The 24,509-nt window shown below is 42.0% G+C and overlaps 1 protein-coding gene across 8 annotated transcripts in view, besides 4 other annotated features; it reads left to right on the top strand.

The window, feature by feature from the left end:
• Positions 1–201: 201 nt before the first annotated feature.
• Positions 202–24,509, top strand: part of CD226 (CD226 molecule) — a 108,500-nt gene continuing 84,192 nt past the window's right edge. For 2 of the 8 annotated variants that reach the window (NM_001303618.2, XM_047437276.1), the window contains exons 1-2: positions 14,102–14,614; positions 14,906–15,241. In NM_001303618.2, the coding sequence (NP_001290547.1) occupies positions 14,569–14,614; positions 14,906–15,241 (382 nt within the window). In that variant the 5' untranslated portion in view covers positions 14,102–14,568. Of the gene's footprint in view, positions 384–5,175; positions 5,362–14,101; positions 14,615–14,905; positions 15,242–24,509 lie in introns of those variants that run through there. The other 6 variants (NM_006566.4, XM_005266642.4, XM_047437275.1 and 3 more) reach the window with 6 other exon arrangements.
• Positions 15,783–15,832: an enhancer, noted in NCBI's record as "active region_13480". NCBI's record gives its function as "activates an Ori minimal core promoter by ATAC-STARR-seq in GM12878 lymphoblastoid cells {active_cell/tissue: GM12878}" and the evidence as "EXISTENCE:reporter gene assay evidence [ECO:0000049][PMID:35858748]".
• Positions 16,333–16,382: an enhancer, noted in NCBI's record as "active region_13479". NCBI's record gives its function as "activates an Ori minimal core promoter by ATAC-STARR-seq in GM12878 lymphoblastoid cells {active_cell/tissue: GM12878}" and the evidence as "EXISTENCE:reporter gene assay evidence [ECO:0000049][PMID:35858748]".
• Positions 16,393–16,522: an enhancer, noted in NCBI's record as "active region_13478". NCBI's record gives its function as "activates an Ori minimal core promoter by ATAC-STARR-seq in GM12878 lymphoblastoid cells {active_cell/tissue: GM12878}" and the evidence as "EXISTENCE:reporter gene assay evidence [ECO:0000049][PMID:35858748]".
• Positions 21,814–22,153: an enhancer, noted in NCBI's record as "active region_13477". NCBI's record gives its function as "activates an Ori minimal core promoter by ATAC-STARR-seq in GM12878 lymphoblastoid cells {active_cell/tissue: GM12878}" and the evidence as "EXISTENCE:reporter gene assay evidence [ECO:0000049][PMID:35858748]".

Below are 24,509 nucleotides of genomic sequence, written 5' to 3'. Positions count from 1 at the left end.
CACAATGCAGTGTGCAATGTTATCAAATAGTTGCAGCAGAAAGGGATGTGGAATGCAGAGGAGAAAGGCATGAGCTTTGTCAGGGAACTGGGACTGGGGGAAAGAGATAGTGGGTATCTGCAAGTCCCTGTTTGTCCATATAGCTGTACTGCTGGCTGCTGCTTCCTGGTGTCATTTAGAAAAATTCCCAAAGAAGAACTTAGCACTTACCCGGGCCTGATGCTTGAGGTCTGGAGTCCTTAAGGTGTGTGTGTAAGTACTTATTTCCTTGAAACCTTGAGACCCTCAAGAGAGGGGGACTAAAAACAGTGGAGGAAGAAAAGAACAGTGGCCAAGGGAGTCGTGGGTGAAGTTTGCTGGGCCCTTGGCAATGCTAAAACCAGGTAAGAACCAGGGTGTGGATTTCTGCTCCAGGGAGCACCTTTCACAGCAGTTCATCCATTGCTTACTTTCATGGGGATATGTGTGTTGTAAAAGGTCTTCAATGATTGATTGTGCAAACATATAACATTTCCACAATATACTAGGTGAAGACCTTTTTGCAGAGTGCCGTCAATAAGTGCCTCATGAATAGCCATTCATAGCCTGACCTGCTTAATAATGTAAAAGAGTATAAAATTCCAGGTAACTAAAAAAATATTTTTGATGCATTCTCAAAATTGGGTCTTGCCATAGAGGAGCATAGGACATACCTCCATTTATTCAAGACTTCTTTTATTTCCTTTGATAAATTAGCAAATTTCTTTGTTTAAATCCTACAAATTCTTGAGGTACATTCATATATATTCACACAGGCACACAATTATACCTACATATACATACACGTGTAAATTTTGCTGTTCTTTTGGATAGGATATACAATAAAGCTACTGAGTCTTATAAAATTATTTTGCTAGGCAGCTTATTAAATTCTTTTCTGTTTTATTTGACCATGTTCTCTAGGTGGATCACCTACAAATCCTACATTTTAAATAATTTTCAAGGTTTACAGCTCCTATTCCTTTTTAAAATCCATTACATTTAGTTAAAACCTCCAGAATATGTTAAATATTGACAGTGATTGTGGCCATCCTTGTCTTATTTCAAAATTGAATTGAGATTTTTCTAGTGTCTCACTATCAAGGTTGCTGTTAGTTTCTCATAAATTTTCTTTATCATGCTGATGAAATTGTAAAATTGCTGTAAGTCTTTCCCAGGAAAGGATATTTAAAATTATCAAGTATCTGGCCAGGCACAGTGGCTCATGCCTGTAATTCCAGCACTTTGGGAGGCCGAGGCAGGCGGATCACTTGAGGTCAGGAATTCAAGACGAGCCTGGCCAAGAAGGCAAAACCCTGTTTCTACTAAAATTACAAAAATTAGCCATGCGTGTTGGTGCATGCCTGTAATCCCAGCTACTTGGGAGGCTGAGGCAGGAGAATCACTTGAACCCAGGTAGTGGAGGTTGCAGTGAGCCAAGATCGTGTCACTGTGCTCCAGCCTGGGCAATAGAGCAAGCCTCCATCTCAACAACAACAACGAAAATTGTCAAGTATCTTTTTGGCATTTACTGGTTGTGTTCATCATAATTGCCTTTTGTTGCTGGAGGAAACTGAGATGTTTGTTCTGCAGTAGCTCCTGCTTTCTATGTTCAGTTCGTTGCTTCCTTGTGGTCTCGTAGTGTCCTTTAACTCAGTCTTTTATTGCCTGTATTCTTTTTATTTTCTTTTTCTTTTCTTTTCTTTTTTTTTTTTTTAAGATGGAGTCTCGCTCTGTCACCCAGGTTGGAGTGCAGTGGCACAATCTTGGCTCACTACAACCACTGCCTCCCAGGTTCAAGTGGTTCTCGTGCCTCAGCCTCCCAAGTAGCTGGGATTACAGACGTGCACCACCACAACTGGCTAATTTTTGTATTTTTAGTAGAGACGGGGTTTCACCATATTGGCTAGGCTGGTCTCGAACTTCATGTGATCCGCCTGCCTTGGCCTCCCAAAGTGCTGGGATTACAGGTGTGAACCACCGTGCCCAGCCATTGCCTGCATTTTCTATGCACTGCTGGTTACTTCTAGAGGCTTGGCTGCATTCAGGCTCAGCTACTCGGGGAAGAGGACTTCCTAGGTGGCGCTGCTTTCTTCCTGCTGCATCGTGTTGGGAGTCCCTCTCATGCCTGGCTGTGCCATATTTAGCAAGATTACGGCTGATCTGAGGGCTCAGGTATCGTCAGTCAGCAGCACGTTTCATCATAGGGTTCCCCATTAACCTTCCACCTCATGGTTTTAGCATCTATTAACAATTGTCTCCATCTATTATTTTAATAGGGGTTGCAAAATGGTGACTTAAAAAATAACTATGATTGTTTTTTCCACTTAGTAGCTGAATTTTCCTATAAAGAGAAACTCGGGTCACCTTGAATTATAATTTGTACAGGAAAGGCAGAGCAAATGCTTGATTCTTTCTTTCCTTACCCTTTGTTAGAACAGCAAGTTAGTGCCTTGGTGACCTTAGAAAAAAAGAGGAAGGAGGTAGCTGATGCGATGCTGCAACTAGGGATGTGATGACTTTTGCTGTTTCCTGCTTCTGTCAGCAACTGGTAAGGTTGAAGAGTGTCTTTGCTTTAAGTTGTTCAAAAAGCCTTTTGCAAGGGTCATGAAAAAATGTTGGAGAGAGGGCTCTTGTTGATCTCTGAGTGGTAATCTTCATTCTATCTCACTGCTTTCCCTCTTTACGTCCATTTGTTCTGCTGGTTAGAACATTTAGGACATCTGTTCTCTGGAGGGATAGGGCAATTTAATTTGTCTCAGGTTATTTTTATTGTTTGTTTTGTAATTTATTATCGATCATGTGATATTTCAACATTTCCCCTGTTTGCTGAGTAAAATTCTGTAGTTACCATGTTGGGGGAACAATGTTGCATCCTTGGGGCCAAGATACTGGGATGCCTGTGTTTCTTTGGAAATGATTCAAAGCTAAGTCTTGGGTTCTTTGTATTTATTACCATATTTCGAGAGCCTCCAAGAGGAAGCTAAATAAACCAGAGAGGATAAACCTCTACAGAGAAACAACAAAAGGTATCTCCATTGTGCCTCCCTTAAAAATAGCAATAGCTAAATAATAAAAATAAAAAACAAAATAGCAATAGCTTTATTATGGGTGATAAGGAGAAGGATGTGTGTGTGTGTGTGTGTGTGTGTGTGTGTGTGTGTGTGTTTGCCTGTGAACACTGAATTAGGGAGTGACCATGAAAAACTAATTTGGGAAAACCCCCCAGCCTGTATCAATCTGCATTTTGTGAGTCAGGGAGTAAGCAAAAGATACTTTCAAGCTAGGTCCCTGTAGGTATGAGCAGCAGCTACTGTCACGATAGATAGGATTTGCATTCACCCTATTGTGAACCACGTGGGTAGACGGTGACTGTTTCAGCCGATGTGTGAGGTTCACTTCAGGGCCCACTGAATAATTTTGAGGAAGAGTTTTGACTCAAAAGAAAACTTGTCTTTGGGTGTGTCCTGCAAAAATCAGTGGGTGTTTTGGGTCAAGACTGTTTTTGTCTTTTTCCTTGAGAAAATCGAAAATTGAGGCAAAAAAGCAGCCCCAACGATGGCAGATTGGAAACAAGATGGAATTGGGATTGTGATCACAATATGGAAACCTTACAGATGGAAGTCATTGCATGGCTTCGTCCTATTCTACAAGTGCTGACTGAGCACCTGGCATGGTCAAGGGCCCTGTGCAAGGATCTGATAGAGCAGGGATAAGAGACTTTACCTGGGCCTGGAAGTGCCTGTCAGGCTCTAGTAAAAAATGCAGCGAGTGAATAGGCATAATAGGATGTGGCAAGTATTTCAGTGAGGACATATTTGGGGTTCTCAGGAAACTCACAGGACAGATGTGGGCCCCAGGGAGAGTATAAGATACATTGGAGCTGAGACCTGCTGGATGGGAGAGGGATAAGAGGTGAGGAAACTCCACGTGCAAAGGCCCTGCCCCATTAGAGCATTGTCCTCAAATTACACAATGTAAGTTGGATGAGCAATAAAGGCTAGGAGTGAGCAGAAGACTTATAAGACATAACACTGGGAAAATGGCAGTCATCAATGACGCAGGCCTTGCAAGTCAGTAAGACATTTGGATATTCTCTTGGGGACAGTGAGGCATTGAAGGGAGTGACGAGAGTCAGGCAGGTGTTTGAGAAGGCTACTCTGGCTACCTCTGGCCCACAATAAGTCTTAGTAAACACTTGTGTCTTGAGAGGCAGTATTGCACTTTCTTCTCCCTTGCTTTCGTATATGCGGTGGTCCAGCAGAAGAGACCAGTCCTGTACCTGCGATGCATAATTAAATGTGCAGGGTAGGGCAGCCCCATGAGTGCCTTCTCACCTGTCAAACGTCCTTCCTTCCTAGTCTTTCTATGAATTTTACACACTAAAGCCTCAGCCACAATCCTTCATGGTGGTTTAACCAGCAGGGAACCTCCATAACCTAATAAATCAAAGGAATCAATAAAACTAACGTTGCCATGGCCTGGTGCAGCAAAAAACCTAGTGTTTCTAAGAGACAAAAGCTGCTAAACATGCAGGGTTCGTTCTCAGGAAACACCGACTTGTGTACTTTTTCTGTCGGAGAATGGGAGACAAAGAAAAAAAAAAGAGTATCTAGAAAGTAAGACCGAAACATACTTAGATATGGGCAGAGATAAGGAAGCCTCTTGACTTAAAAAGAGGGCTGAATCTAATGTGCTTTGATTGGCAGGAAAAAACACGAGGAAGAAAAGGCAAAGAAACAAACTGATTTCGGCGGGGAGTGTAGTTTCTATTTAGAGCTAGAACAAAGGAGAAGTGCGTCCTTTCAAATTATAGATTCTTTGGGGGAAAAGAGGGACAGAACTTTATCTGAGTTTGGAATGAGTCTGAGTAGCTGCAATAGTAAAGTTGCTTCCAGAAGCAGGTAAACTTGACTTCAAAAAACCCCGCTTCATGAAATATTAGTGATTCACTTCAGTTGCTATCTGAGGAAGTTCTGGTAGAGAGAAGAGCTCAAGAGCATGGGCAGAGTCAGCTCCTGAGTGGGCTGAACGCTCCCCTCAGCTCCTGCAGTGCTAATTAAGGGAGGGAGCAGCGGGGAGCTTGCAGTGACCAAGAGGGTGTTGAGGCTAGGAGGCCACGATAAACAGGATACGATAAAAGTCCTTAACCAAGACGCAGATGGGAAGAAGCGTTAGAGCGAGCAGCACTCACATCTCAAGGTTAGTAACCTTCTCAGAAAAAAGACTGGATGTGTCTGAGCTCAACTTTTTAAATGAATCGTGTGCGAAAGGGTGGGGGCTGCCAGTGAAACCATGGCAAGTTGATGCAGCAGGACAAGAGAGTTGCCGGAAAAAGCTGGAGTAAGTTAAGTGCTCGGTGTTCTGTGAACTGTTAGTTTAATGAGGGGTGCAGTTTGTAGTAAAAGGGTGCCAGTTAAGTACTTTTTCTCAGTCTGTCTCTAGAATTGTATTTATAATAGATCTGATCGTAAAGTTCTTGAGAATAAGAAAACTGAGCTAATTTTACCGGCATCTGGTCTGTCAAGCTTAAATCTTCCTTCTCTCCAGCAAGACTGAACAAGGATGAACTTAAATAATAAATGTCCATGATCCAAAGATTTATTATCCTACTCAAGGGTTGGGAAACTTTTTCTGTAAAGGGCCAGATAGTTAATATTTACAGCTTTGTGGGCCGTGTGGTGTCTGTCAGTTGTGACCTAACACCTCTTGGTTCCAGCATTGCAGCACAAAAACAGCGGTGGATGGTATGTAACCAAGTGAGCATGGCTGTCTCCAACCAAACTGTTTATGGAAATCAGTGGGCTGCGCCCAGCCCTCAGGCCATAGTTTCAGAACCCTGTCTTAGAGGATCCCTGCTGAACCCCAACTGGAGTCTTTGCGTTGACTGGAAGTGGGGTTCTACTGGTCACTCAGCAGTAGCCTCACTCCTGGGGACATGTGTATGACTTGCCAAGGTTCTAAGGGTATCGTGGTCTAGAGGAGACCATGTGGCCCACATTGGAAAGGTTCTCTTAATGAGATTATTTGAGGAAGGGAGCAGAAACCCAGACTATTGTGTTCCTGAGGAAATTTTTTTTTTTTTTTTTTTTTTGAGATGGAGTCTCGCTCCTTTGCCCAGGCTGGAGTGCAGTGGTGCGATGTCGGCTCACTGCAAGCTCTGCCTCCTGGGTTCACGCCATTCTCCTGCCTCAGCCTCCTGAGTAGCTGGGACTACAGGTGCCCGCTACCACACCCGGCTAATTTTTTGTATTTTTAGCAGAGACGTGGTTTCACCGTGTTAGCCACGATGGTCTCGATCTCCTGACCTCATGATCCGCCCGCCTCGGCCTTCACTTTGGGATTACAGGCGTGAGCCACCGCACCCGGCCTCCTGTGGAAATCTTACTGGAAGTATGAGCCTCTTAACAGCTGGGGCATCCCAGCAGAAGGCAGGCAAACCCTCGCATCTGAGAAGGAGTGGAGGGAGCAAACGACCTCTCACACTATAATCTTCCCAGCCCCAGTCACTTGTTCTGAGTTTAGCTAGATTTTCTGTTCACAGTCCTCTGCTTTCCAGCATGTGAATAGTTTTCCAAGCAAGTGTCGAAAGGTATCAGAGCAGATTCTCCATCACACACATCAGGTGTTTTTGCATAAACTGGGGAAGGTGGGGTCATTGAGTAGACACTAGGAGACTCCTCCCAATGCTCAGAAACCATAGAGACATCTGGGGAAGCAGGACATATTGTAGGTAGCAGAAACAATGAAACTGAGGTGACAGGGAAGGTTCTACCTGGGTGGACAGCCTACAGGAAGAAGAACAGTGTGGCTGAAGAGTGTTCCCCGTCCCCACCCACCCAGGCCACCTAGGAGTCTGCATTCAGAGGCAAGCTTGTGAGATGAATTCATGCTCATGTGGTTAGCTGAGACATTTTTAATAGTAGAGAAATCCAGTAATATTTTGATTAATGACTTCCTTGAGGACAAAGCTCTTTTATACAGACAGCTCTATTAGAAAAAAAACCTCAAGCCAAAATCCCTTCATAAATCATGCAAAAAATGGCTGCTGACACAACAAAAATAGCTCAAGCGCTGTCTCTATTTGTCTTTGGTTAGATGTTGATAAATAGGGCTCATCTCTAGCAAAGTCGTAACAGCTGGACTTTGTCTTCAGCTGCAAGTCTTTCTGCCCCTTTCATTCGAATCTGTGACCTCTAGGACCCTCAATTCCAGGGTGCAAATACACAAGTTCTCTTCATCTCTTGACTAGTTGGCTCTGGATGCCTTGGGAATAAGGAGTTCCTACAAGTTATTACCAGTTAGTACCCCTTTTCCAGTCCTCCTCCCATGAACCTCATTTCTTTATCCTGGGTGAGGAAGTTCACTTTGGGCCTGATCATAGAAACCACCGAGAGTGGATGATGCTAGGTTTCATCTCATTTCCTTTAGGATTTGAGGCAGCACGGTGTTGCAGATGCCTGCTTGGCCCTCAGCCCTTCTACCTCTCTACCTGCACCTCTACCCCACTTTACCCAACCCTGACCCCTCCCTCAGAAAATAGATATGTTTTGGCATTTGTTTAATAAGCACATAATGATTTTTAAAAATATCTTAAATCATTTATCTGACAACCTCGACTATCATGATCTTTTGCATTATTGATTTCCAGCTGTTATCACAAAGTTGTGACAGAGTGTGTCTGTGGACTCTATGCTTAGACTGTACTATGCTAATGTACTGTATTCTTAGAATGTACTTGGCATCTTTGGACCGGGGTGGTTGGGGGATCAAATGAAATCAATTAATACGTGGCCAACAGCAAGATGGGGTGGCCTCATTCATTGGTAAGACCTGGGGTGAATGTGGACTCATACTATTCACTAGTAACAATTTTTAAAAATTGAGGTGAAATTCACATAACATTGTTCACCTAAGATTTAGTCAACATAAGATTAAACTTTTTTTTTTTTTTTTTGAAACGGAGTCTTGCTCTGTTGACCTGGCTGGAGTGCAGTGGCACAATCTCAGCTCACTGCAACCTCCACCTCCTGGGTTCAAGCGATTCTCCTGTCTCAGCCTCCCAAGTAGCTGGGATTACAGTTGCGCACCACCACGCACAGCTAATTTTTGTATTTTTAGTAGAGTCGGGGTTTCACCATGTTGGCCAGGCTGGTTTTGAATTCCTGACCTCAAGCAATCCACCTGCCTTGGCCTCCCAAAGTACTGGGATTACAGGTGTGAGCCACCACACCAGGTCAAGATTAAATATTTTAAAATATACAGTTCAGTGGTATTTAGTACATCCACAGTGTTCTGTGATGACCGCTTTTATCAGATTCCAAAACATTTTCATCATTTTAAAGAAAACCCCATACCTTAAACAGTCACTCCCTATTCCCTCCTTCCAACAGTCAATCAATTGGCAAATCACCAATCTGCTTTCCATCTCCATGGATTTAACTATCTGGATATTTCATATAAATGGATTCTTACAAAATGTGGCCTTTTGTTTCTGCATTCTTTGACTTAGCATAATGTTATCAAGGCTTATTCATGTTGTAGCATGCATTAGCCCTTCATTCCTTTTTATGGCTGAGTAATATTCCATTGTATGGATTTGATCACAATTTGTTCATTCATTCATTCACCTGTTGGCAGACGCTTGGATCGTTACCACCTTCTGGCTTTTGTGAATAATGCTGCTGTAAACATTGGTCTACAAATATTGGTTTGAGTATATTCTTTTGAGTATATACCTAGGAATAAAACTTCTGGGTCATACAGTAATCCTGTTGAACGTTTTGAAGAATCTCTAAACTGTTCTTCACAGCAGCTGCATCATTTTACATTTCTTTACAACGCTTGTGCAACAGTACACAAGGGTTCGAATTTCTCCACATTTTCCCTAACATATTAATTTTTCTCTTTTTGATTATGTCCATCCTAGTAGATATAAAGTGAGTTCTCATTGTGGTTCTTATTTGTGTTTCCTTATTGACTGATAATGTTGAGCATCTTTTGGAGAAAAATGTCTATTCAAGTACTTTGCCCATTTGAAAATTGGGTTGTTTCTTTTATGTTAAAGTGTGAGAGTTCCTTATATATTATGGATATTAGACCATAATCAGATAGATTATTTGCAAATATTTGCTTGCATTCTGTAGGGTGACTTTTCACTTTCTTGAAAATGTCCTTTGATGCACAAAAGTTTTTAATTTTAGTAAGTCCAATTTATTTTTTTCTTTTGTTGCCCATAGGTTTGCTGTCATGTCTAAGAATCCGTTGACAACTTCCAGGTCTTAAAAATTTACCCCTGTGCTTATTCTAAGATTTCTACAGTCTGAGGTCTTATATTTAGGTCAACCCATTTTGAGTTAATTTTTGTGTTTCACGGAGGTAGGGATCCAATTTCATGCTTTTGCATGTGGCTATCCAGTTGTCCCAGGACCATTTATTGAAGAAGCTATTCTTTCCCCACTCAGTGGGGTTGGCACCTTGTTGAATATCAATTGTTCATAGATGTATGGGCTTATTATTATTTTTATTTGTATAAATTCAAGGGGTACAAGGGCAGTTTTGTACAAGGGCAGTTTTATTATGTAGTGGTGAAGTCTGGACTTTTAATATAACCATCACCTGAATAATATATGTTGTACACATTAAGTAATTTCTATCCCTCACCCCTTTCTACTCTCCCATTCTTCCAAGTCTCCAGTGTCCATTATTGCATACTGTATGTCCATGGGTACACATTATTTTGCTCCCATTTATAAGTGAGAACATGTGGTTTTTGAGTTTCTGTGTCTGAGTTGTTTCATTTAATATAATGGCTTCCCGGTCTATCTATGTTGCTGCAAAAGACATGATTTCATTCTTTTTAGGGCTGTGTAGTATTCCATTGTGGATATATACCACAGTTTCTTTATCTAACCCTTCATTGATGGGCACTTAGGTTGATTCCATATCTTGGTTATTGTGAATAGTGCTGCAATAAACATATAAGGGCAGGTATATTTTTAATATAATGATTTCTTTTCCTTTGGGTAGATACCCTGTAGTGAGACTGCCGGATCTAATGGTAATTCTATTTTTAGTTCTTTGAGGAACTGCCATACTATTTTCCATAGACGTTGTACTAATTTACATTCCCATGAACAGTGTATAAATGTTCTCTTTCCTCCACATCCTACCTAACATCTGTTTTGATCATCATTTCAATTTCCTTGGTCTATTTGTCTATGTATATGCCAATACCCACACTGTTTTGATTACTGTAGCTGTGTACTACAGTTTTGAAATGGGAAATGTTAGTCTTTCAGCTTTTTCTTCTTTTTTAATACCATTTTGGCTATTCAGGACCCCTTGCAATTCTATGTAATATGTTCAGACTTCAGAGTTGGTGGATTCAGTAGCTCAGTAATGCCATCTGAGCCCCACATTCATTCTGTCTCTCTCTACCACCCTGTTTGTCCTCAGGCTGATTTCCTTCAATATGGCTGCCTGTGGTAACCAGGACAGCATTCTTGTTCATGCATAATGAGAGGAGATAAAGATAGAAACAAGGATGGAGAGAAGAGAAATTGTTCACATTCCATGCTGTTTTTCTGGCATGGAATGTGAATAACTTCCTTCACTCTGATGGGCCAACTCAGGCCATAGTTGGCTTCTCTGACCCCTCAAATCAATCATAGTTTTCAGGCTGGGCATGGTGGATCATGCCCGTACTCCCAACACTTTAGGAGGCCAACATGTACAAGTGCAAAATTACATGAGTCCAGAAGCTCCAAGCAAGCCTTGGCAATGTAGCAAGACCCTGTCTCCAAAAAAAAAATAATTTTAAAAAATTAGCTGAGTGTGGTGGCTCAGCTGGGTCCCAGCTACCCAGGAGGCTGAAGTGGGAGGGTCACTTGAGACCAGGAGTTTGAGATCAGCCTGGACAACATAGCACGTCCCCACCTCTACACACACACACACACACACACACACACACACACACACACACAAAATCATAGTTTTCAGTACAATAGCTTCTATTTGTCATAATATCTCTGTGGCGTGTGGAAAGGGGTGGATACTCAAACTCAGGTACAGTACTGCTAGGAGTGAGGAAAGTGAAATGGGTGATGGTCAGTTATCTTTCTAATAATTGAAATCTGATTATATCATTCTGGTGCTTAACAATCTCCAATCGCTCTTAGAATTGTACCAGGAAGTATATAAGGCAAATGTACTCCCACCCCACTCATCTCTACATCTTTCTGTTTCCATCTCCCCTCAATGTATCCAGCTACAATGATTGAAAAACTTCCACAAAGTCTCTGACTTTGTGCACCTGCTCTCCTATCCACCTGGACTGCTCGTTCACACACCTGGCCACACCCTGCATGTGGCCACAGCCTCCTGCTTCTGCAGATTCCAGAACACACTTCACTGCCCGAGAGCCTTTCCCGACCACCAACCTGACACAGCCTCTGCTTGGCTGCAGCCCCAGCCATTCTCTCCCATGCCTGTGTGTGTTGCTTCCTTTTCATAACGTGACATGCACTTCATAACTGTGCATTTATTTGTATGTTCGTCTGATGTCTGTCTTTCCAACTAGACTGGGGGCATGAAAAAGTTTTTCTGTAAAAGAGCAGGTGGTATGTTAGACTTTGGCCGTACACTCTGTTTTGAGATCACGCCAGATGCAGTATGTGTGTGAGAGAGAGAGAGAGACAGAGTGTGTGAGAGTGTGTGCAAATGTGTGTGAGCATGTGTAAACGCATGCATGTGTGCGTGCATGTGAGTGTATGCATGTACGAGTGTGTTTGAGAGTACGTGCAGATGCATGTGATTGTGTGAGATTGTGTGTGCATATGTGAGCATGTGTGAGAACATGTATAAGTGCATGCGTGTGTGCATGTGTGTGAGTGCATGTATACGTGTTTGAGAGTATGTGTGCACCTGCATGTGATTGTGTGTGTGAGAGAGTGTGAGAAACAAAGTGTGAATGTGTGCATATGTGAGTGTGAGAGCATGTGTAAGTGCATGCGTGTGTGTGGATGTGTGTTTGAGAGTATATGTGCACATGCATGTGATTGAGATAGAGTGAGACAGTGTGCATATGTGAGTGATAACGTGTAAGTGCATGAGTGTGAGTGTGCGTGGATGTGAGAGTATGTGTGCACATGCATGTGATTGTGTGTCTGAGACTGTGAGCATGTGTGTGTGGGTGCATGTGTATGTGGGTGCATGTTGTGTGTGTGAATGTGTGTTAGAGCATGTGTGGGTGCATATGTGAGACTGCATGTGTGTGTGAGTGCATGCATGTTTGGGAGACAGCATGTGTGGGTTCATGCATTTGAGCACGTGAGTGTGTCAGTGTGTGCATGTATCCGTGTGTGTGTGTGTGTGTGAAGGGACACAGGCCTGAGACAGAAGATATGAATGCAGGAGGAGTACTTAGGGGGACCCTGTCCTCAGGACCTCAGGAATTCTCTGGACTTGGTTTAGCCCGGCATTTGTAGTTTGATTTTTGCTGGTGCCTGTCAGGGGAAAATCTTGTCATTAGGACATAATAGGACATAATAGATGAAATTAATTTTTCCAATTCTGATGGAGGTCTTCCATGTCCTTGCCACTCCAGTTTGTTCTGTACAGTGACCAAGATTATCTTTCCAAAACGCGAAGTTGTGTGCACCGCTTTCTCCATCAGCTCCTCGGCGGCTCCATGTTCCTCTCAGGAATGTGTTAACGTCACAGGCGTTACTGAGAGCCTGCTTTGCCTGAGGAATTGTGCTGGGTGCTGGAGTTACAGAAGTTAGCATGACGCCGCGGTTTCTGATTGCTACGTTTCAGTTCCTTTATGTGTGTCACTCAGGTCACTTTTCAGTCCAGACTCAGTCTCATTTTCGGTCACTTCCCCACCCACTAGACTGTAGTCACACCATTTCCTGAAACACCCGCATTGTCACGCCTCTGTTTTCCCCCCACTTTTTCTATAAAACCTTTTCCACAATCTATTAGAATGATTTGTTCTCTCTGGCTTTCATAAAACTTAGCAAATGACTTGTATAGAGATGATCATGTTTTGCTACAATAAATTGCTTTTAAAATTAATATGACCCACTATATTATGCATAACCTGAGAGCAGAGATGTGTCCTCTTTATGATTGTATTTCCAAGGGACTAAGCAGAGGACCCAGCATAACTCAGTACAATTTGGAGGAATTGTTGGGTTGACTTATTTACAAAACAGAGATAACAGATGCCTCTTTTGACTACATCACAAAACAACTAGAGGCACAAATAATATCATAGATGTGAAAACTTTTAGAAAATATAATGCCATATAAACACAAGGTGACACCATGCTTGATTATATGTACACATTACAATTTTGTTCTGATTATCATTGCATTGTTGATTTTATGTTCCCTGAGAAAGTTCCCACATTAGATATTCATGCTGAGTAGTCGACACTTGCTGATACACTTTGAGACTGAGTCACAAACAAAGTTCAGGGTCGGCATTAGATAAAATTGTCTTCAGTGGTTTCTGCTCCTACTTTTCCCAATTTTTACTCATCTTCTATTTTGACAGTCTTACCAGGGTCAAATGCATTTATACAATTCCTCTTTTTGTAGGGGTATACTTTTTATACTAACATGCTGATATGTTCCTAACAAGTTCTTAAGAATTGGAACTTGTACCTAACAAGTTCTTAAGAATTGGAACTTGTATTTTATAAGAGAAAGAAGAGAGCAATGATGAACCTGAAAAATGAATCCTGTTTTGATATTGTACTATAATTATGTAAGATATGACCCCTGACAGAACCTGGGGACAGGGACCTGTCTGTACTCTCTTTGTGACTTACTGTGACTCTATAATTATTTCAAAATCAGAAGTTAAATCTCTCATAATGGTAGATCTGCATATGCCCTGGGCCAGCATACTTTTGTATCTGATGGGCTTTTGATCTGTTTTTTGGTCCTCATCAAAGCAAATGTCTGAGATCAGCAAGGAGGAAGAGGTGAAAGGAAGGCCACAGGATGGGCTGTCAGCGCTGGGCGTAGGCTCCCTCCGCCCACTTCAGCCTCTGCCTCATCTTATGCTCTCAGTGAGGACTTCTCTGCTCCATGCATGCACCACCTTTCACTTATTATTTATATTTTTACATCTTTATTTTAGTTTCTGCCTCCTCCACATAGAATGTAAGTTCTATCATGGCAATATTTTTTTTTTTTTGTATTATTGTATCCTCATTGCCTACAGCTGAGTTAGGCACAGAGAATGCATGCAGCACATGTTTGTTGAATGAATGACTCCTTGTAGAAAATGAAAGCCCGAAAATAAGCCGACTGGTTCCCCGAGAGAGAAGAAACTCAAATCTGCCCATCCTCATAAAGGAGCAAACCTGTCTTTTAAGCTAAGGCCTTTTTCCTGTGTTCATACTTCAGAAAAAGAAGACACGACTGATAACATCTGAGAGGAAGGAAACTGCATTGTGCTGGGGATCTGCATGTCACATTATAAAAAGCAATTTTTTTTTTTAATAGAACCAGCCTTTCAAACAGTTTCCAGAGATGGATTATCCTACTTTACTTTTGGCTCTTCTTCATGTATACAGAGGTAAAGATGATCTTTATATTTTCATTTAAAAGTTTTGCTCCTGTTTTTGTTTGTACAGTGTGGCATATTCAGAATTTACAGTGCTCTTTAGTTGGCTAGGATAATTTCTCACTTGTTCAGAAAAACTAAAAGTTACATTTTCCAATTATCAGCAGGACGCCTTTTTAGACAAAGGCAGAAACTGTCAGCCTTTACTGTGATCTCAATGCACTAGGTCTTCAAAAGCTTAAGATATTGATTTGGTGTTTCCATCATCAAGGCTAACAATTAATGTGATGTTGTATATTTCAGCTCTATGTGAAGAGGTGCTTTGGCATACATCAGTTCCCTTTGCCGAGAACATGTCTCTAGAATGTGTGTATCCATCAATGGGCATCTTAACACAGGTGGAGTGGTTCAAGATCGGGACCCAGCAGGATTCCATAGCCATTTTCAGCCCTACTCATGGCATGGTCATAAGGAAGCCCTATGCTGAGAGGGTTTACTTTTTGAATTCAACGATGGCTTCCAATAACATGACTCTTTTCTTTCGGAATGCCTCTGAAGATGATGTTGGCTACTATTCCTGCTCTCTTTACACTTACCCACAGGGAACTTGGCAGAAGGTGATACAGGTGGTTCAGTCAGGTAAGGGCAAGTTTTTTTTTTTTTTAAATCCCTTTTTATCCACTTACAACATTTATTTCTATAAAGCCCAAGTAGAAGCTATAGAATGTCTTCTCGTATTTCTGTGGCATTCTCCAATTCCATTTCTAGATGCTTTGATGTTACTGCTTTGAAGGAGCAATCTTGGGAGTCTGTTTCATTTTTCTGACTGTGCTGTTGTGTCCGAGTAGAAGTGCCTTTCAAATTTGAATGTAGTAGAAGAAAGCACAGGTTTTTTGTTGTCTTAATGATAACCTGAGCCTTGATTAAACTGATGTTGGCAACACATGGGTTCAGGATCCTTTCAGGGTTTTATCACAGTGACATAGCACCATTCCCTTCTGCTGGACACTCCAGCACCCACATCAACCCCTGTGTGTTCAAGGTTCTTCCTACAGTACCAAATCTAAGTTTGTTTTCTTTCTTTCTTTTTCTCTTTCTTTCTTTCTCTCTCTCTCTTTCTTTCTTTTCTTTCCTTTCTTTCCTGTCTTTCTTTCTTCTTCCTTCTTTTTTTTTTTTTTTTTTTTTTTTTTTTGATGGAGTCTTGCTCTGTCACCAGGCTGGAGTACAGTAGCATGATCTTGGCTCACTGCAACCTCCAGCTCCTGGGCTCAAGCGATTCTCCTACCTCAGCCCCGCAAGTAGCTGGGACTACAGGTGTGCACCGCCACGTGATATGGTTTGAATTCCCATGTGTTGTGGGAGGGACCTGGTGGGAGGTAATTGAATCGTGCGGGCAAGTCTTTCCCATGCTGTCCTCATGATAGTGCATAAGTCTCATGAGATCTGATGGTTTAAAAAAGAGGAGTTCCCCTGCACTAGCTCTCTCTGTTTGCCTGCTGCCATCCATGTAAGACGTGACTTCTCCTTGCCTTCCACCTTGATTGTGAGGCTTCCCCAGACATGTGGTGCTGTAAGTCCAATTAAACCTCTTTCTTTTGTAAATTGCCCAGTCTTGGGAATATCTTCATCAGCAGGGTGAAAACGGACTAATACACCATGCCAGGCTGATTGTTGTATTTTTTGTAGAGATGAGGTTTCAACATGTTGCCCAGGCTGGTCTTGGACTCCTGAGTTCAAGTGATCCAACTGCCTCGGCCTCCCAGAGTGCCAGGATTACTGGCATGAACCACCAAGCTTGGCCCTGGCTCTATCTTTCACCTCATCCAGGTTTAGCTAGAGAGGACACTTTCTTCATAAATTGTGAGCTGTGGTGTCAGAAAGAACCCAATGATCCCTTGGAGTGTTTTTTGCTTTATCTACCAGAGATTGTGGTTTTGTCTTTCTAGTGATGACTACATGAACTGGTTGTAGTATATTGGAAACACTTGGGTTTATAGTCATCACTTTCCATCAACCTGGTGTTAGTTGCTCGATCCCTCTGAATCTCAGGTTCCTGAAGAGGAAATGGGGTTGGTAGTGCCATTCTACTTGTTGAATGGCTGAGGGACGATATATTTAAAGAACTTGGTCCATGGTAGTCAGAGAATGATACATCTTATTATTTCCTATGCTTGTGATCCAAAAGGACTAATAATGAAATTTTCAGATATTAGTGACAATCTAAAGCAGGGAATATTTTTGGAACTGTGTGTTTCTTGTGTGGTGTCTCTCAAATTATACTCATGGCTGTACAGAGAAGAACATTTTATGACATCTGACATAATAGTGCTTTATTTTTAAGGGATCTGTGCTCTAAAAGAACAAGTACAGAATTATATGAGGAATATCAAATGGTCAGGAGATAAGAAACATCTTCATATATTTAGTTTTCCCTTTCTCTTTAGGTGTAGCTAGGGTGAAGACTAATTTTGTGTATATAGCTGAGGCTTATAGAGTGTCAATTTACAATGTTTCTTTAGTTAAATGTTTATTTATTAAAGACTCTGTTTCACCATACAAGTCCTCATTTGCTGTTGTATGTAGACACCTGTTAAATCCTGCTTGGAAGTTTTTACTGTGTAGTTTGCTATAAATCAGTCAGGCAGGCGAAGTAGAAGATTGGCAAAGCTTTTAACATAGACTGAGCCATTGGAAACAAGGCCTGAGCCACCAAAGCTAGAACAGGATGCACTCCCCACTGCTGCCTTGTGTGGTATGCCTTTAAAGTTTGGGTTCCAAATTAGCTGTTTTGGTTTCTGTCACAGGACAACCAATTGAAAACAGCTCAACCTTTCAGGATAGAGGATGGAGCTAACCTGTAGAGAACTAAATGATGGTTGTTATGCAAAGGTAGGATTTTTAACATCACATATGAATAGTCTTCGGAATATTTCCTGTTGTTTTCATCCAGATTTGTCATTACTGCTAGTTTTTGAGGTTAGGAAAAGAGAGCTGTCACCTTCATGGGGCTTAAAAAAATACAATGTGGAGATTTTCAGTCAGTTTTCAGTCAGAGGAAGGAATACCGGCTGTCCGTCTAGTTTGAATTCTTCATGATGGTATCCTTAGCCATGATCCATTGCTCTTGTTTTGATTATTTGTATTTTAAAGAGCAGATTGATGCAATGGGCTAGTGAGGGCATTCTACCCTATTTTGAGAGTTTGAGAGCTTCACTTTTTTAAACTAAGAATGATAGTGAGTTTAAAAAATATTAGTTGTATTTCAAAATTAACCTTAGGTGTGCTTGAAATTTTCTTATGTACTTCAGTAACAACATACTGGGATTGCAAATATTGTACTTTTGTATACTGTAAAGGGGGAGTTGAAAATACATTAAATAGTAAAAAAAAAAAAAAAAAGACTTGGAATCTAGAAATCCTAGTTTGTATAATGGATTGTAAGAACTTCAGAAGGATGAAGGAGTTGGGCCCTATGCTCTGTAAATATGTTGATTTTTTGCTATTTATTGATAGCTTATTATGTGCGGAATTTTACATAGTCTGGATCTTCATAGACTTCCTCCTTGAATCTCCTGTGTGCACTTGAACGTTTGTATTGCCTGATTTTACAGATGATGACATTGAAGTGCAGTGAGGTCTAGTAGTCTTTCCAAGGCCCTAAGTTTCACGTATGTCCCAGCAGATAAAGTTGCAAATTGATGTAACTGTCAGCCTGGGGGACATGGGAACCCACCAGGGCCCTTGAAGAAGGAGACCTTGGCCTTTGTACCTCCTATCAATGCTACCCCTCTCCAGCTTTCAGCCTAGAGTTTAAGAGCAAACAGGACATCTTATTCTGAATAAATGGTACTACTAATACAAAGTTATTTGAAAATATGTGTTCTTTCCAGAACAGGCATTTCTTCATTAGCAATTGATTTAGAGACTCTGATGGTAAGAATAAATGCATTTGTTTTTACCTAGTTTGTGAGAAAATATGCAGAGATGACTTGGGGGACCACATTTTCCAGATAGCCCTTTCTAGCAGAGTTTGTGAGGTCATGGAGAAAACTACTGTCACCTACGTGTCTCTGGCTTTATTAGTCAGTTAAAGCAAATATAGTTGCATTTACAGAAATACCCCCAAAATGAGTGACCCACTCAGAATGCTCTGCCACCTAGTGTTTACTGGGTGCCTGCTCTGTAGGATGCAACTGCGTGTCATTTCATTTAATCCTTATGAAGCACTATGGGGAGGTAATATGTTCCCGTAATACAACAGAAGACACTGAGGTTCAGGGTGGTAGACTCACTTGTCCAAGGTTATCAAGCTGCCAAGTGGCAGCACCAGAATGACCCCAGTTGATTTTTCTGAAGAGCCAGAGATCTTAACTCCAGTGGAATGAACCAGGGAGGGCCATGGTAGAGAAAAGTCGTGCTGGACCTTGAAGAATTGGAAGGAATATTTTAATTAGAGAGGCCGGGGTCTGGGGAAGAGAGAAGACAGAGAGGGAAGGGTGTCCTGGGGGTACTGATGGCTTAAAGAAGGGCACAGTGGAGGTGTAAAGTTCATGTAAGAGGCAGAGCCTGGCCTTCTCTGACTAGGGCACTGGATTTGGATAAGATGTGGTTCTCACCCTGGGCTCTGAGGCCCCCTACACCCACAGAGGTGGCCTGAGAGGCAGCCTCCCAGGAAAGGAAGACACTGTGAGAGTGAGACTCTCTCCCTGCATGCACCAGCAAAGGGGCTCAGCTTATGATACTTTAGAGTTTCAGGAAAAGCTTTAGTACAGTAGATTCTGTGCTTGAAAAAGGAGTTGCAGCTCACTAGGGCAGCAGAATGTCAGAAATAAACCCGAAAAGTTATTGATGTGCCTAATGGAATTTTGACTTCTGTCTGTAATGCAGACCAGGGGACATCTCTGACTAGTTTTTAGAGAGACACACAAAATAAAACCAGATTTTTCTTTCACCACCTAAAAGATTACACTAGCTGCAGTCTTTTAGGAGAGTAAGAGTTTGCAGGCAAGGTAAGCAAATAGGCATCTGTAGATTGGAACCTTTACACACTGCTAGCAGGAGGATTAATTGGTATCTCTATTATTTTAGTCAGGCTTCTCCAGAGAAAGAGAACCAATGTGTATATACATGGAGATTTATTATAAGAAATTGGCTCACATGATGTATTAGTCTATTCTCACACTGCTGTGAAGAAATACTTAAGACTGGGTAATTTATAAGGGAAAGAGGTTTAATTGACTCACAGTTCAGTATGGCTGGGGAGGCCTCAGGAAACGTACAATCATGGTGAAAAGGGGAGCAAACATGTCCTTCTTCACATGGCAGCAGGAAGGAGAAGTGCAGAGTGAGGTGGGGGAAAAGCCCCTTATAAAACCATCAGATTTTGTGAGAATTCACTCACTGTCACCAGAACAGCATGAAGGTGACTGGCCCCATGATTCAGCTACCTCCCACCGGGTCCTTCCCACAATACATGGGGATTATGGGAACTACAAGATGAGATTTGGGTGGGGAAACAGCCAAATTATATCATTTTGCCCCTGGCCCCTCTGAAATCTCATGCCCTCACATTTCAAAATACAACCATACCCTCCCAACAGTCCCCCAAAGTCTTAACTCTTTCCAGCATTAACTGAAAGTCCACAGCCCAAAGTCTCATCTGAGACAAGGCAAGTACCTTCCGCCTATGAGCCTGTAAAATCAAAAGCAAGTTAGTTACTTCCTAGATAAAAGAGGGGTACAGGCATTGGATAAATACACCAATTCTAAATGAGAGAAATTGGCCAAAACAAAGGGGCTACTAGCTCCATGCAAGTCTGAAATCCTGTAGGGCAGTCATTAAAACTTCAAGTTCCAAAAATGATCTCCTTTGACTCCATGTCCCACATCCTGGGCATGCTGATGCAAGAGGTGGGCACCCATGGTCTTGGGCAGCTCCACCCCTCTGGCTATGCAGGGTACAGCCTCCCCTCTTGGCTGCTTTCACAGGCTGGTGTTGAGTGTCTGTGGCTTCTCCAGTTGCATGGTGCAAGCCGTCTGTGGATCAGATTCAGATTGTGGGGTCTGAAGGATGGTGGCCCTCTTCTCACAGCTCTACTAGACAGTGCCCCAGTGGGGATTCTGTGTGGGGGCTCCAACCCCACATTTCCCTGCTGCAGTGCCCTAGCAGAGGTCTTCCATGAGGGCTCTGCCCTTGCAGCAACTTCTGAATGGACACCCAGGTGTTTCTGTACATTTTCTGAAGTCTAGGCAGAGGTTCTCAAACCACAGTTCTTGACTTCTGTGCACCCGCAGGCCCAACACCACGTGTAAGCTGTCAAGGCTTGGGGCTTGCACCCTCTGAAGCAACAGCCTGAGCTGTATGTTGGCCCCTTTTAGCCGTGGCTGGGACATAGGGCACCATATGCAGTCCCGAGGCTGCATAGAGCAGGGGGTCTTAGGCTTGGCCCAGGAAATCACTTTTCCCTCCTAGGCTTATGATGGAAGGGGCTGCCATGAAGGTCTCTGACATGCCTTGGAGACATTTTCCCCATTGTCTTGGTGATTTACATTTGGCTCCTCATTACTTATGCAAATTTCTGCAGCTGGCTGGAATTTCTTCCCAGAAAATGTTTTTCTTTTCTGTCGCATCATCAGGCTGCAAATTTTCCAAATTTTTTATGCTCTGCTTCCTCTTGAATGCTTTGCCCCTTAGAAGTTTCTTCTGCCAGATACCCTAAATTATCTCTCTCAAGTTCAAAGTTCCACAGATCTCTGGGGCAGGGGCAAAATGCCACCAAACTCTTTGCATAGCAAGAGTGACCTTTACTCCATTTCCCAAAAAGTTCCTCATCTCCATCTGAGACCACCTCAGCCTGGACTTCATTGTTTATATCACTGTCAGCATTTTGGTCAATGTCATTCAACAAATTTCTAGGAAGTTCCCAAATTTCCCACATTTTCCTGTCTTCTTCTGAGCCCTCAAAACTGTTCCAACCTCTACCTGTTACCCAGTTCCAAAGTTGCTTTCACACTTGTGGATATCTTTACAGCAACCCTCCACTCTCTGCTGTACTCATTTACTGTATTACTCAGTTTTCATGCTGCTAATAAAGACATACCTGAGACAGGGTAATTTATAAAGGAAAGAGGTTTAATTGATTCTCAGTTCAGTATGGGTGGGGAGGCCTCAGGAAACTTACAATCATGGTGGAAGGGGAAGCAAATATGTCCTTCACATGGTAGCAGGGAGAAGAAGAGTGAGTGCCCAGAGCAGGGGAAGCCCCTTATAAAACCATCAGATCTCATGAGAACTAACTCACTATCATGAGAACAGGATGGGGGAAACCACCCCCATGATTCAGTTATCTCCACCTGGTCTCTCCCACGACACGTGAGGGTTATGGGAACTACAACTCAAGATGAGATTTGGGTGGGCACACGGCCAAATTATATCATATGATCATGGAGACTGATAAGCCCAAATTTGCAGTGTGGGCTTGCAGGCTGCAGACCCAGGAGAGCCGATGGTACAGGTGAAGCCCAGGTCATCTGCTGCAGAATCCCTCTTGCTTGGGGAGGCTGGTCTTTTTGTTGAATTAGGCTCACCTACATTATGGAGGCAAACTGCTTATTCAAAATTCACCAATTTAAATGTTAATCTCATCCCAAAACACCCTTCAAATTGACACGTAAAATTAACCATCATACCTGTTTTGGAAAATGATATGGCATTAGCTAGTTAAAAACCCCAAATCCTATGATCCAATAATTCTACTCTGTTTGGTATCCAAGAGTTCTCTCATTATAGGGAAAATTCCTGACAATATTTATAGCAACAGTGATTGCAATAGCAAAAAATTGGTAACAACCCAAATACCCATCAACAGTAGAACCGAAAAGCACACTGAGGTCTATTCACACATTAGGATACTCTACATCACTAAAATGAGTGAATTATCACTTGCTCACCGACATGGATGAAGCTCATGAACTTTGTGTTGAAAGAAAAGAGCAAGTTACCAAAAAAAATAGGTAAACTAGGGTTCCTTTTCTTTAAAGGTTTTAGAAATATGCATAATTAAACAATACGTTATTTATAGATACAAACGTGGTAAAACTATAAAGAAAAGCAAAGTTCAGAAACATGGTAGGTGGGGGATAGAATAGAATCAGGAAGGGCTGAAAGGGTCTTTAAGGCTCATAGTCAGGGTGTTTTCCTTATACAGGTGTTTTATTTTGCATTTGTCTCAAAATGTTTTAGAAGATTTCTTTCAAATCTACTGATTTCTTTTTCTTTTCCTTTTTTGAGACAGAGTCTCACTCTGTTGCCCAGGCTGGAGTGCAGTGGCATGATCTCAGCTCATTGCAACCTCTGCCTCCTGGGTTCAAGTGGTTCTCCTGCCTCAGCCTCCTGAGTAGCTGGGATTACAGGCCTGCATCATCACACCCAGCTAATTTTTGTATTTTTGTAGAGATGGGGGTTTTGCCATGTTGGCCAGGCTGATCTCAAACTCCTGACCTCAGGTGATCCACCCCACCTTGGCCTCCCAAAGTGCTGGAATTACAGGCATAGGCCACCTTGCCTGGCCAAATCTACTGATTTCTAATGGTGAAAAGAGATGTGATTGCAATTTTTGAGCAGTTGAAAGCTCTAAGGTAAGGATGAAATCTTCATTCTGATATGGCCTGGGGGCCAGGTAGAGGTAAGTTTCAGCAATGGTTTCAAATTTTTATGATCCAAGGACTAAAAAATGATGATTTTAGTGAAAAAGATGTGAAATTAAGAGACCAACTTGGCTAGCAAGAGTGGAATTAAGTCTGTTTCAGGTGTATTAAATTGTAAAGTAGCCTTTGACCAGCTGACAATTGAAATTATGGAACAACAAACCAGGATTGAAAATATCCAATTTGAAGTCATCTGAATGATCATCCAGCACATGTGGATGGATGGGGTTAACTAAGAAAGTACCAATGGATGGGGGCAGAAGTCTAAGGTCATAGCTTGTGGCTTGGAGGATGGTCACATTGTAGTGTGTTAAAGAAGGTGTTCATGTTAAAGAATGTAGAGGGCATAGAGAAAAGAGGGGGAGAGTTGGGAGGGAGAGGAAAGTGAACAGGTGAATTATTGATGTGAGAGCAGAAGACACATAGAACTCATATTTATAGTAGAGGGTTAGATTTTCTTGCTCCACACATGCAGGTACTTTGTGTTGGCTGTATTGTATGTTTGCTGACTCTGTGATCTCCCATATTCCAGTCCATTTATCTCAAACTGGGCACAGAGATGTTCCTCACTGTTTCCCTTTAAGAGTCTCATTCTCTCCCAGGTGGGATGAGGCTCCTTATATGCCATCCATGCTCATTCTTAGAAGGCTCTTATCTCTACACCCTTCAGGGACAAGTGTTCTCTGTCCAGGTTCCCAGCAGCTGACATAGCAGCCAAAGTTTTCTTTCATTCTTGTATATATCTGCTGGTTAGTGGCACTAAAGAGATTCCTTTAATATTAAGGGCTCCAGAATTGATGGCAGTTCTGAGGAATCCTATGATGAAAGGGATTCTAAAGATCATGCTGGCCTATATATTAGTTGAGGGCAGCATGGCCAACATTTTTCTAATGCTGGGGTATAATCTCAGCCTTTAAATTTGATTTAAAGCTGGGGAGAGGGAAGTGTCTCAAATCTGGCTTTTATAAATGGGTGTGCTGATTTGCAGGAGCTGAACCCACTTATCCATTAATTCACTCATCAAGTCTTTCCTGAGAATCTACAATGTACAATGTAATGTTCAGTGGTTTGGAAGATAGAAAGACATAGATCTTAGCTCTAAATAGGATGTAGAATATTGGGAGAGAGAAAAGTTTATATCACAAATTATTATTTGAGGCAAAAAAATAAGTCGCATTGTAGTCTAGAGGATATAATTTTA

Source organism: Homo sapiens, chromosome 18 (genome assembly GCF_000001405.40).
Source record: "Homo sapiens chromosome 18, GRCh38.p14 Primary Assembly".
Classification (NCBI taxonomy): Eukaryota; Metazoa; Chordata; class Mammalia; order Primates; family Hominidae; genus Homo; species Homo sapiens.
Note: the sequence above shows the minus strand (reverse complement) of the source record. Positions and strands in the feature narration are given on the sequence as shown.